At 34.7% G+C, this 14620-nt stretch overlaps 2 annotated features.

Moving 5' to 3' along the window:
- Positions 11048-11192: an enhancer, noted in NCBI's record as "145 bp 12:17327941 sequence used in MPRA reporter constructs". NCBI's record gives its function as "activates a minimal TATA-containing promoter with rs11043352 allelic activity by MPRAs in C283T melanocytes {active_cell/tissue: C283T}" and the evidence as "EXISTENCE:reporter gene assay evidence [ECO:0000049][PMID:36423637]".
- Position 11120: a transcriptional cis regulatory region, noted in NCBI's record as "rs11043352 or 12:17327941 MPRA-significant variant associated with a GWAS melanoma risk locus at 12p12.3". NCBI's record gives its function as "allelic transcriptional activity by MPRAs in C283T melanocytes {active_cell/tissue: C283T}" and the evidence as "EXISTENCE:reporter gene assay evidence [ECO:0000049][PMID:36423637]".

The raw sequence follows: 14620 nt of genomic DNA, 5'->3' as shown, positions 1-14620 counted from the left end.
AAAGGGCCAGGGCAAGATCACTAATAACTTCTCAATGTTGGCAAAAGTATTCTTGCATTGGATATGAGGCTTAACCTAGCCATTTCTATTTCTGCAGTAATATCAATAGTGGTTGCCTTTCTAGACAGTTACCAGAAAACTGTTGTGTATTATCTGTGGGATTGTTTCTGAGCCCTCTAGTATTCTCTGTAGCATCAGTGGGACAGCAGCCGCCTTTCGCTTCTTCAGGTCATCAGCTGCAATAGATTGAGCCCATTCTACACCCAGCTGTCCTCTATTATCACAGATTTTCTTTGAGAAAGAGGACTATCTGGTGTATTAGGTTTTCTGTTGCTGACATAACAAATTGCCACCAATTTAGCTGTTTAAAATAACACAACTTTATTATCTGTCAGTTCTGTAGGTTAGGAGTCCAGGTACATAGCTCAACTATTTTCCCTGCGAAGAATTTCACAAGGCAGAAATCTAGGTGGTTTCAGGGCTGTGTTCCTATCTGGAGGCTCTAAGGAAGAATCCATTTCCAAGTTCGTTCAGGTTGCTGGCAGAATTTATTTCCATGTGGTTGTAGGACTAAGAACACCTTTTCTGTGGGCTGGCAGCTGGGTTTGTTCTCAGCTTCTAGAGAAGTTGTGTTGATCCCTACTTTGTAGATTTCCTCAAAGTCAGGAGTTTCAAGTTGTGTTCTTCTCATTTAATTCACCGACTCCACCTTCTGCCTCATCTTTTCTGCTACAGACTGACAGACTCTTCCGACTTTTGCTTCTAAGGGCTCATGTGAATTCACTGGGTACACCCAGATAATACAAGACAATCTCACTCTTTCAAAATTAGGTGATTGATAACCTTAATTTCATCTATAAATTCCTTCACAGCAGTACCTACACCAGGGTTAGTTACACTGAATAATCAGGAGACAGGAATCTTACGGAGTGAATCAACTTTAAAATTTTACCTACCATATGTGAGTTCATAATTCTTTAAATCAATTTCATCAAGTGTTCTCTGATCAGTACTCATCAACATTTGCCAAAGTTATCTTCTCTCACCATTACTGCTGCTACTTTGATCTCAATTTTTTTATCTTAAGTTTTTTAGTAAACAATAAATTGCTGATATAGTATATAAAATTACTGCATATGAGTTCATAGTGCAAACACTTAGGTCCATGCATAGGGAACGGAAATTGAGGCTATGAGTCCATTTTCACAGTGTCAGAAAGAAATACCTGAGACTGGGTAATTTATAAAGGAAAGAGGTTTAGTTGACTCACAGTTCCACAGGGCTGGGGAGGCCTCAGGAAACTCACAATCAGGGCGGAAGGCAAAGGGGAAGCAAGTACCTTCTTCAGACGGTGGCAGGAGAGAGCGTGTGTCAGCACAGGAAAAACTGCCATTTATAAAACCATCAGATCTTGTGAGAATTCACTCATTATAACGAGAACAGCATGGGGGAAACCACACCCTATCATCCAATCATGTCCCATCAGGTCTCTCCCTAAACACCTGGGGATTACGATTCAAGATGAGATTTGAGTGTGGAGACAAAGCCCAGCCATATCACAAAGTACATTATTATTTCAATCTTGACTACTCTCCTCTCCCACAGGCACACACCTTTACTCATCTTCCTCATGTTGTAAAATTAACTCTATGTATGAAAGAGAGAAGTAAGTAACTGTTTATGTTTGACTAATTAATGTTATGAGGGTTACAGTTATGGGAATAAGTTACATTTATTGTTCTATATTAAGATAGTATGACTTTTTGCCACCTCACCTTCCAATTTTTTTGTTATTTTATAGAAAAAGATAATTCCAGAGGATGTGAAGAAAATCAAGTTTAAAGTTATGAAGGCAAAAGTTTAAGTATTATCTGAGGACCACAAGATGCCAAGGGGGAGATTTCTATCTGGAAATGGTGACACAGATGGACTAAGTTGGGTCAGGACCATTATGAGAGGTCTTTCCCCATAATATCCAGATGTCAAAAGCACCTGACCCAATTCAAAGGTGACAATCTCAAAGAAGTGTCTAATTTTTTTATGTCCCTGTTTCTAAGTCCTGCCAATATTAACATTTAAACTATCCAGACATGGAAAGAGAGAATTAAAGACATAGATGCATAAAAGGAAGAAAGAGAAGTCACTTTACTAGGACATCTCAGTACAAATGAAACTGGGAACGTTTCATTTATATATATCCTAGTGATTCAAATATTGCTTTTTATGTGGCTTTATGTACTGTTTCTTCTCTACTGTCCTGATGAGACTACTCAGCGTGTAGCATGTTCAAGATCATACCAATTATAACATACTCCATAAAAGTTTTCATGACTGATCTTGTTGAAATAGCTTTAATGTTTTCCTCAAACTACTAGATACAAACATGAAATGCAAAGAAATCAGTATTCATTTATCTCTAAAATGCACTCATAATTTATTTGTTAAAATCTTAATAAACATATTTTAATGTTTTCTAGTTATCTGACTAGATTGTATCTAGTCCAGCATATACATTTTCTTATATTATGAATTCATAAAGCATATAGGCTCTCTCTGTACAGTACCCAGTGTCAAATAGCTAATACAGCACCATGCTCAAAGAGGTATTTAATAAAGTTATAAATAATTTCTTATGATCATGACATTCAAAATCCTTAAACCAAGAAAAATTTGGTATAACAAACTAATAAACTGAATTTTAAAGTTAGACCATCCTAGACCTAATTTTATTACTCTTTGACTTTAAGCAAGTTTCTTTTTAATCTGCAAAAATGGGCAGTAGAGTAATTTTGCAAGGACCTATTAATAAAACATTAATTAGTTTCAATTTAACATATCATGCAAAGCAGATATGTATGACCAGATTGAGGATAACAGAGAGATGTCCTTTGAAAATGATCCTTAAATGTTATTTGTTCATTCCAGCATCAATTTTTCCAAAAATAACAGGAGAAAAATATATCAGAATTGAGCAACACGATACATGAAACAAAAATGGAAGTGTCTGGAGTGAGTCTAGGTGAGTATGAAACGTCTGCATGATTTGCATTTAGACTTGAAATACTATTGTGTAAGTATTACTCTTTAAAAATAAAATGTAAATTAAACTTAATTCAGAAATCTCATTTCCTTCCAATGTTATTTCAGTAGTTATGAAGCTTAACTCACTCAGGAACTGTATGTAGCTAAGAAACTGTGCTTGTTCTAAAAAAGCCCTTTGGAATAAAACTGCTTCACAACTTGTAAAATATTATCATTCATTTTGCCATTTTGCTTGGGATTTTCCCATATCTTTGGATTGTCTTTCTTGCTTCCCAAGACATCTCTGCTCTGACAGTAAGAAAAAGGGATCTCCTGGGTAAAATTCAGACAGACCACGTGGCTTGACAATTTGAACTTACTTTTTGCCTTTCAACTTCTCCTTCCGCCTCTCTTTTCCCCCAAATACCCAGGGAGGCACAAATTTTACCTTCACTATGTGAAGATGTGTTTTGGGAAAAGAGGAAAAAGTGTTTTTCACATACAGTTGAACATGACCAAATTATACCAGTGAAACCTGATGAGAAATGTTAAAAAAAAAAAAAAAAAGTTAAAAGATAAATCTTACTTTGCTTTATCCGGAAGAAAATTTATATGGCTACTATATAAAACTCCCAACTACTTATCTAAGATTATTTTAGCAGCCTTAGAAATTAGCGTAGTTGTTGCAGAGGCTGAAAAATCACTGTGAGAGAAAATAGTTCTCATCATCACTTTACTAGTATTCATTCTCTTTCATTGGAAGCAAAACATAGTTGGGGTATCAGGCTCAACATTTTTTTCTAGGTCAAAATAAGAGTCAGAGATTATTTATCACATGTGGTAGATAATGGATGAATTTTCTAAGGTCTAGTTTTGGACTTGAACCTAATGCAGTGTCTGTAAACTAGAAAAACTATGACAAAGTCCAGCTTATATTATTTGTCATCATTATCATTGTCATATCATCATAATCATTATTTAGTATATTCTATATACTGACCATTATTTAGTATATTCTATATATCAGGTGCTGTTTCCAGTGCTCCGCATCTATTAATTTATTTAAACTTGAGAACACAGTCTTCTATGTGTGCACCTACAGTTCCAACTTTTGTCCTCATTTGGCTTTACTTTATTGTAACGTTCCTTTGCATGCCCCAATTCAAATCCATGGCCTCCCTAGTCATTCAGACATAATGCATTTTTGTGTTCTAGTCCAGACAATGTCTCTGAACTGGATATTTTCTAACAAACATCTAAAAAACCCTCTGTGTTTCTAAGTTTTCCAAAAAAACTTCTCCATTTGGATGGCACACTGGCACCTCCAGCTCAAAATATTTTCTCTCCCTCTGTGTTTGTTGTCCTGATTACTTGGACAGCAAGCCTCAAGTCACCCAAACAAGAATTATTTCAGTCATCCCACATGCTTTTCTCTTTTACTTTTAACATGTTCAGTAAAGTAAAACTAAAAAATAATACTTTCACTTTACTAATCATTCTCTAATTAATTCAAGTTAATACTGTAGCTTTTGTTTATCTTTGAGTCTGCACCCCCATGGCAAATGTTTTAAGCAAATTCTGTGCTCCTACTCCCTAGGAGCAATATTATCTCACCATTAGGAGTACAAACACTGGATTCAAGTATACATGGGTCCAAATCCCATTTTCACTGCTTTCCAGCTGTGTGAACTTGGACCCATTTCTTAATCTTTGCAACAGGAGTATAGAAAATAAATATCTTTATCCATATAACAAGATGAAGGAAGAGTAAAAAAAGTTATACAAATTACTTGGTAATAAACAAGAGACCTCAAATGAGATGTTAAAGTAAGTCCAAATAAGTCAGAAAATAAAACAAATGTAGAGAAGTAAATTTAGTTTTGAAAATTCAGAGATTATGAGACTGCATTTTAAAAAATCAATTTTGTGTTACTTACAATAAAAACACCTAAAACAAAATGAAACATTAAAGGATGCAAAAATAAGATATATCATGAAATATCAACCATAGGAATGTCAACGTGTCTACATAAATCCCATTATAGAATTATAAATCATAAGTGGAATGTAAAGCTTTGTCTCTCTCTGCTTTTATTAGTAGGTAATTTATGTAGCAATTCATAGATACCTAACTGAAAATACCTTATATAAAACAGAAATCATTGGTTTACATACTAGAAAGTTTAGTCCTGGATTTGGCTTAGACATGGCTGTACTCAGGAGATTAAATGTGCGGTTTATTTTCTCCGTCTTTTGGCTCTACTATCCTCTTCATGTTGCTTTAATTCAGCAAATAAATTATCTGCACATGGCAGGAAAGATATCCACTGTGAGCCCCATTCACAACCTTCCAGCTTACCAATCCTAGCAGGTATAAAGGGAAAGAGACCTCTCTCTTCCCATGCCCATATAGCAACCTTGGGACAAACTCTGTTTGGACCTGCCAGGGGGATGTCTATGGATTATTTCTGACTGGGACACATGCCCAGCAGATTGACCGTAAGTGAGATGAGAGACGGTGATTGACAGAACTACTTGGATTATATGCACATGTAGGATGGAATAGCACTTTAAAAGTAATCAGTACTGAACAAGAAAAAATGTACACTAAACCTCTTTTATTGACTATTGTTTAGAGTAAGGCAATACATACCAAGACCATAGTGAGAGACAATGAAAAAGATCCATGAAGGCCTATTTTTAAGACATATGCTGGGCTGGGAGACAAAAGAATACTCCTGTGGCTTACATATGGTTCAGCCCAATTCACTATGACTTATTTAAATGTAAAATATTTATTTAACTTTTGAACTCCATGATAATTTTCTCAGATCCTCTGACAACAGGGAGCTGACTTCTAGCTTATATCTGTCTTCTCCTTAGATTAATGACTAAACCACATTTATTTGGAAATACAGGAAGAATATAAATGACATTTTAAATTGTTCTTTCTGACTATAGGCATTCATCAGTATCACAGTATAAATCTTAATACAGTATAATAACAGTGTAAAAGTTTTTTAAATGATTTTGTGTAGCTTTGTGCTTTGCTTTCTTCCTTTTACATGTTTTTCTCCACATATTGCAGATTTCCAGGGGCAAATGAAATTAGCCTTCAATGGCTTAGGTTCTAGTGACCAGATCACAGGGTATTTACTGATGCTTCATTTTTGATTCAGATAAAGCCTTTAGGCAAACATCACAAACCTCTGTAACTGACTATAACAAAGGGAGTTAAAGGATACCTATACATTGAAGTGAAAGATAGTAGTATTAAGGGAAAGAAAAGTCAATATAAGGGGAAAATTGGAAGCATATAAGAGAAAGCATAAAAGTTTATAATAGTTGTTCCGAATGAATAAAAAGCTTCTCTGGACAAAATAATAGAATAAATACGATTTCAATGGCATCTTAACGTCCTTGGTAGAACAACAGGTTTTTTTTTATTATTATACTTTAAGTTTTAGGGTACATGCGCACATTGTGCAGGTTAGTAACATATGTATACATGTGCCTTGCTGGTGCGCTGCACCCACTAACTCGTCATCTAGCATTAGGTATTTCTTCCAATGCTATCCCTCCCCGCTCCCCCCACCCCACAACAGTCCCCAGAGTGTGATATTCCCCTTCCTGTGTCCATGTGATCTCATTGTTCAATTCCCACCTATGAGTGAGAATATGCGGTGTTTGGGTTTTTGTTCTTGCGATAGTTTACTGAGAATGATGATTTCCAATTTCATCCATGTCCCTACAAAGAACATGAACTCATCATTTTTTATGGCTGCATAGTATTCCATGGTGTATAGGTGCCACATTTTCTTAATCCAGTCTATCATTGTTGGACATTTGGGTTGGTTCCAAGTCTTTGCTATTGTGAATAATGCCACAATAAACATATGTGTGCATGTGTCTTTATAGCAGCATGATTTATAGTCCTTTGGGTATATACCCAGTAATGGGATGGCTGGGTCAAATGGTATTTCCAGTTCTAGATCCCTGAGGAATCGCCACACTGACTTCCACAATGGTTGAACTAGTTTACAGTCCCACCAACAGTGTAAAAGTGTTCCTATTTCTCCACATCCTCTCCAGCACCTGTTGTTTCCTGACTTTTTAATGATTGCCATTCTAACTGGTGTGAGATGGTATCTCATTGTGGTTTTGATTTGTATTTCTCTGATGGCCAGTGATGATGAGCATTTTTTCATGTGTTTTTTGGCTGCATAAGTGTCTTCTTCTGAGAAGTGTCTGTTCATATCCTTCGCCCACTTTTTGATGGGGTTGTTTGTTTTTTTCTTGTAAATTTGTTTGAGTTCATTGTAGATTCTGGATATTAGCCCTTTGTCAGATGAGTAGGTTGCAAAAATTTTCTCCCATTTTGTAGGTTGCCTGTTCACTCTGATGGTAGTTTCTTTTGCTGTGCAGAAGCTCTTTAGTTTAATTAGATCCCATTTGTCAATTTTGGCTTTTGTTGCCATTGCTTTTGGTGTTTTAGACATGAAGTCCTTGCCCATGCCTATGTCCTGAATGGTAATGCCTAGGTTTTCTTCTAGGGTTTTTATGGTTTTAGGTCTAACATGTAAGTCTTTAATCCATCTTGAATTGATTTTTGTATAAGGTGTAAGGAAGGGATCCAGTTTCAGCTTTCTACATATGGCTAGCCAGTTTTCCCAGCACCATTTATTAAATAGGGAATCCTTTCCCCATTTCGTGTTTTTCTCAGGTTTGTCAAAGATCAGATAGTTGTAGATATGCAGCATTATTTCTGAGGGCTCTGTTCTGTTCCATTGATCTACATCTCTGTTTTGGTACCAGTACCATGCTGTTTTGGTTACTGTAGCCTTGTAGTATAGTTTGAAGTCAGGTAGTGTGATGCCTCCAGCTTTGTTCTTTTGGCTTAGGATTGACTTGGCGATGTGGGCTCTTTTTTGGTTCCATATGAACTTTAAAGTAGTTTTTTCCAATTCTGTGAAGAAAGGCATTGGTAGCTTGATGGGGATGGCATTGAATCTGTAAATTACCTTGGGCAGTATGGCCATTTTCACGATATTGATTCTTCCTACCCATGAGCATGGAATGTTCATGGCAGTGGTTTGCAGTTCTTCTTGAAGAGGTCCTTCACATCCCTTGTAAGTTGGATTCCTAGGTATTTTATTCTCTTTGAAGCAATTGTGAATGGGAGTTCACTCATGATTTGGCTCTCTGTTTGTCTGTTGTTGGTGTATAAGAAGGCTTGTGATTTTTGTACATTGATTTTGTATCCTGAGACTTTGCTGAAGTTGCTTATCAGCTTAAGGAGATTTTGGGCTGAGACAATGGGGTTTTCTAGATATACAATCATGTCGTCTGCAAACAGGGACAATTTGACTTCCTCTTTTCCTAATTGAATACCCTTTATTTCCTTCTCCTGCCTAATTGCCCTGGCCAGAACTTCCAACACTATGTTGAATAGGAGTGGCGAGAGAGGGCATCCCTGTCTTGTGCCAGTTTTCAAAGGGAATGCTTCCAGTTTTTGCCCATTCAGTATGATATTGGCTGTGGGTTTGTCATAGATAGCTCTTATTATTTTGAAATACGTCCCATCAATACCTAATTTATTGAGAGTTTTTAGCATGAAGGGTTGTTGAATTTTGTCAAAGGCTTTTTCTGCATCTATTGAGATAATCATGTGGTTTTTGTCTTTGGCTCTGTTTATATGCTGGATTACATTTATTGATTTGCATATATTGAACCAGCCTTGCATCCCAGGGATGAAGCCCACTTGATCATGGTGGATAAGCTTTTTGATGTGCTGCTGGATTCAGTTTGCCAGTATTTTATTGAGGATTTTTGCATCAATGTTCATCAAGGATATTGGTCTAAAATTCTCTTTTTTTGGTTGTGTCTCTGCCCGGCTTTGGAATCAGAATGATGCTGGCCTCATAAAATGAGTTAGAGAGGATTCCCTCTTTTTCTATTGATTGGAATAGTTTCAGAAGGAATGGTACCAGTTCCTCCTTGTACCTGTGGTAGAATTCGGCTGTGAATCCATCTGGTCCTGGACTCTTTTTGGTTGGTAAGCTATTGATTATTGCCACAATTTCAGATCCTGTTATTGGACTATTCAGAGATTCAACTTATTCCTGGTTTAGTCTTGGGAGAGTGTATGTGTCAAGGAATTTATCCATTTCTTCTAGATTTTCTAGTTTATTTGCGTAGAGGTGTTTTTAGTATTCTCTGATGGTAGTTTGTATTTCTGTGGGATCGGTGGTGATTTCCCCTTTATCATTTTTTATTGCATCTATTTGATTCTTCTCCCTTTTTTTCTTTATTAGTCTTGCTAGAGGTCTATCAATTTTGTTGATCCTTTCAAAAAACCAGCTCCTGGATTCATTGATTTTTTGAAGGGTTTTTTGTGTCTCTATTTCCTTCAATTCTGCTCTGATTTTAGTTATTTCTTGCCGTCTGCTAGCTTTTGAATGTGTTTGCTCTTGCTTTTCTAGTTCTTTTAATTGTGATGTTAGGGTGTCAATTTTGGATCTTTCCTGCTTTCTCTTGTGGGCATTTAGTGCTATAAATTTCCCTCTACACACTGCTTTGAATGCATCCCAGAGATTCTCGTATGTTGTGTCTTTGTTCTCGTTGGTTTCAAAGAACATCTTTATTTCTGCCTTCATTTCGTTATGTACCCAGTAGTCATTCAGGAGCAGGTTGTTCAGTTTCCATGTAGTTGAGTCGTTTTGAGTGAGTTTCTTAATCCTGAGTTCTAATTTGATTGCACTGTGGTCTGAGAGATAGTTTGTTATAATCTCTGTTCTTTTACATTTGCTGAGGAGAGCTTTACTTCCAAGTATGTGGTCAATTTTGGAATAGGTGTGGTGTGGTGCTGAAAAAAATGTATATTCTGTGGATTTGGGGTGGAGAGTTCTGGAAATGTCTATTAGGTCCGCTTGGTGCAGAGCTGAGTTCAATTCCTGGGTATCCTTGTTGACTTTCTGTCTCATTGATCTGTCTAATGTTGACAGTGGGGTGTTAAAGTCTCCCATTATTAATGTGTGGGAGTCTAAGTCTCTTTGTAGGTCACTCAGGACTTGCTTTATGAATCTGGGTGCTCCTGTATTGGGTGCATATATATTTAGGATAGTTAGCTCTTCTTGTTGAATTGATCCCTTTACCATTATGTAATGGCCTTCTTTGTCTCTTTTGATCTTTGTTGGTTTAAAGTCTGTTTTATCAGAGACTAGGATTGCAACCCCTGCCTTTTTTTGTTTTCCATTTGCTTGGTAGATCTTCCTCCATCCCTTTATTTTGAGCCTATGTGTGTCTCTGCACGTGGGATGGGTTTCCTGAATACAGCACACCGATGGGTCTTGACTCTATCCAATTTGCCAGTCAGAACGATAGGTTTTAATCACTCTTAAATATCTTAACGCAATTGCTATACTAATTTCTTCTATTTTTACTGTTTTTTTGAAAACAGATTGCATATGTAATAGAAACCTCCAAAAAAAGTGGAAAGTAAATGATACTAACTTCTAAAAGATTTTTTATTTGAGACTTTCCATCCATTCTAATCAGTCCTAAGGCATGAAAATTGACAACGGTGACCTTTGCTTTTGAAACAGTGGTCCCCAATCTTTGTTCTCAAGAACCCTGAGTCTAGAGAGAGGCATACAGGAGCTCTGTCACATACTTCTTTGGAAAGTGTCACAATATAAAGCTATCAACAGTTATACCAAGTAAACAACCATAAGAATTTTCATAGTAAAGAAAGTGAAAAGAAAGTTGATATCACATTAATAAAACAGTTTAAAAGTAATAAGAACTGCTGGCCAAGGTTGAAAAACTGATATTAAATTAGTCCTCTTGCCATTAATGCAAAACAAAGCAAACAAACAACAACAACAAAGCCCTAGAAAATTAGAAAAGCAATACGAAAAGAAATTCTTCACATATTTTGGACAACAGACATAACAGACCTAGGATCCCTGAAAGAAGAAAAAAACATATCTAATACACCCTACAATTGCCAGGCTTTCTTGCTAGAATCATTTGCAGAACAATGCACAGGGAAAGGAAATCCAAGCGGAACAAGAAAGTCTTCCTGAGGTTAAAAAGGCTGAGATGATTAGAATTTGTAGAGCATGTTACTATAGAGGAGATAGCTACAGAGAGGAAGATATATCCAGAAATTTTAAAACAGCCTCACTTAAAGCTCTGACTAAATATTAAGATTAATATGCCAAGTGTGCCACTCTACGAAGCCAGGCAAATAACTCTAGGAGTAAAGACTTACGAGGGAGCTATAAACCAAACTAGTGCCTGAGCTTGCAAGTTCACATCCACTGAGATACATTTGAGGTCCCACAGTTTCAAAGACATCTCATCCAACATCCAGAAAATTCAGAGGATGCTTCAGAAATGCCATACCTTAAAATACGGACTAAACTAAGAGGAGATGAAAGACTACACTGGATGGGCACTAACAAAGTGTGAAAACAAGCTTAAAAAGACTAAGGTGATTGGCAAGTAAATTAATGGTTTGCAGAACAAAACCAAACACTAAAGAAAGGCAACAATATTCATACACCCAACGATGTTCAAACTCTCCAGCAGCCAATCAATGATTGCTAAATAGGCAAAAAAGCTAAAAAATGTGACACATAATCAGGAGAAAATTAGTCAATAGAAACAGAATAAAAAATGACAGGGATAATTGAATTAGCACATTAAAACTTTAAAAGAGCTAAGTAAATACGTACAAGTACTTAAGAAAAGCATAATGTGATCATGAGAAATATAGAAGGTTAAAGAGCTGAATGGAACTTATATACCTGACTATATATCTGACACGGATGGACTTAATAGGAAATTAGTTTTTCTCAAGTAAGACTTAAGTAGATTTGAAAATATGACATTAGAAATTATCCAAACTAAAACATAAGAACAAAAAATAAAACACTGAAAAAATTTAAAATTTTGATGATTTTTGGACAAAATTAAGTAACATAACACATATGTGATTCAAGTATCCTAAAGATGGGTGGTTAGGTAAATGTTTGAGAAAATAATATGTGAAAATTTTTCAAATTTGATTTTTAAAAATTAATCCAGAAATCCAGGAAATTTAATGAACCCCAAGTAGCATTACACTAAGAGACATGATAATCAAATTGCAGAAAACCATTGACAAAGAAAATAATATTGTAAAAGTAGCAAAGCAAAAAGACACATTACATCTAGGGGAAAAAATTTAAATGTCTACTGAATACTCATCAGACAGAATTTAGCCAGAGGCAATAAAATAAAATTATTAATCTATTGGAAATTGGTTAGTCATGCCAGAATTCTGTACACAGTGAATATATCTTTCAAAAGGTATGGCAAAATAATGCCATTTACAACAGAAAAAAGTTAAAAATATATAGCAGTAGCCAACCTGTACTACTTGAACTTCTTTGGGATAAAGGAAAATGTTATCAGATTCAGATAAGTCAGAATCATATTTGTCCATTGTATAAACATATATAAACAATTTTTATGTTTTCCAAACTTTCTAAAATACAATTGTTTGTTTTGATAAAAAGTAGTACTTTTTACCACTCAAAAAATATATACCACTGTAAAAGCAGTATTTTGAGTGGTATATATCATTGTGGGAGTACATTATATGATAGAAATAACACAAAAGACAAGTAGTGTAGAAATACACTGTTGTATAGGTAAGTGACATAATATTATTTGTAAATAGATTATAGTAAGGTCTAAATATATATTGCAAACACTGGAACAACTAACATATTGTGCAACAAAGTTATATAACAAAAACATCAGTAGAGAAGATAAAAAGGAATAAAGGAATACTAGAGGTATTCAAGTAATCTTGAAGGAAAAAGGGAAGATGAAAAACAGGAACAAAATAGATGGGGCAAACAGAAAAGAAATACTAAGATATAGACTGCAATACAATATCAATAATTACATTAAATATAAATGGATTAAACATACAAACCAAAAGACAGCAATTGTCAGACTGCCTAAAAAAACAAGATCTAATTATATTCTATTCACAAAAAATACTTTAAATATCAAAACACATTTGGGAATGAAAAGGAACAATCTACTGACACATCCAACAACTTGCATGAGGCTCAGATATATATTTTTAATAAAAGCATTCAGGCACTATTAAATGCATACTGTATGTTTTCATTGAAATGAAATTCTGGAATAGAAAAAAATAGATCAGTAGTTGGCTGTGTCAGGTATGAAAATTATAATTTACTGTAAAGGAGCAGGAGGAAACATTTTAGCATGATGAAATGTACTATATCTTAATTGGGATGATGATTACAGACAGACATATAAAGACATCAAAATGTACTCTTAAAATTGATGTGTTTCATTTAATATTAACTATACTTCAATGAAGTTTACAAATAAAAAGAAAAATATGACAACTGGAAAGATTAGCCTCGAGTAAGAAATCAATTTAAATATTTAATTTCCTCTCTAATCTGTCAATACAGTTAGTTGGAAAACAAAATAATTTCTATAGTCATTTGTGGCAATTGACTTAATATCCAATTTGTTGAGGTCTGAATTAATGAACATTTTAAATATTTTAATAACAATAGAACTAAAGAGTTTATTTTGCTGCATGATTCTCTAATATCTCAGAAGCTGTAACTTCTACATATCATGAAGCACATTGATTTATACTGTGGATATTTGCATATGACAAAGCAAAAGGCTCAGTTGATTTTATATACTTGGAGGCCAAAAAGATTTGAGTATGATAGGTGATTTAAAGCTGTAAAAACTACAATTGCTGAACTTCCAAGGTCTTTTGTCATTAAAGGTGTTTTTTAAAACAGAAAATAAAATTTAGTTTTTGTCTCCTATTTCAAGTAATAAAATTATAACTGAGAATAAATTGTCATATTTATATCAGCACATATTTCCCCTGAAAGGAAGCAAAGGAGTTAAAACTTAAAAACCTGATTGAAGACAGCTGATATTCTTCCACACAGAATCAATTTAAGGAGTTAGAAAGTAATATCATAAAGGAAAAGAGATAATCAACTTTTTGTAGGATATTTAAAATCTTATTATAAAAATGAAAATTATTAACAAGTAGAAAAGAAATAATATAACACCTATGAATTAGAAAAGGATCTTGGAGAAAATCCACAATGAAACCAAGACTACCGAGAAGTACAAGTATAAATACAAAAATGTAGCAAAGAAGTTAGAACTTAAATTTTATTTTAAAGTTCAGATTGAATTAAAATAAAACCTATGCAGATTTTTAGAAGAAAACCTACCAGCATGGCAAATATGAGAGATAATGACAGAATTGTCTGAGTATTGGCTACTGGGGAAAAAGAAAACCATAGTTTATAAATTTACTGATTCACATATTGATAATTAAATATTTTACAATTATACTCAGTGGAGATCTTCACATTATATGATCTAGAGCAGGGGTTGCAAACTTGTTTTCGTACATAAAGTTATCTGGGAAAACATCTATGCTCATCCATTTATGTATTGTGTATGGCTACTTTTGTGCTACGAGGAAAGATTCGGTGTAGTTATAGCAGTGATATGGCCTGCA

The sequence above is a fragment of the Homo sapiens genome, chromosome 12 (assembly GCF_000001405.40).
Source record: "Homo sapiens chromosome 12, GRCh38.p14 Primary Assembly".
In the NCBI taxonomy this organism is placed as follows: domain Eukaryota; kingdom Metazoa; phylum Chordata; class Mammalia; order Primates; family Hominidae; genus Homo; species Homo sapiens.
The sequence above is the reverse complement of the archived record's forward strand: the minus strand, read 5'-3'. Positions and strand labels throughout refer to the sequence as shown.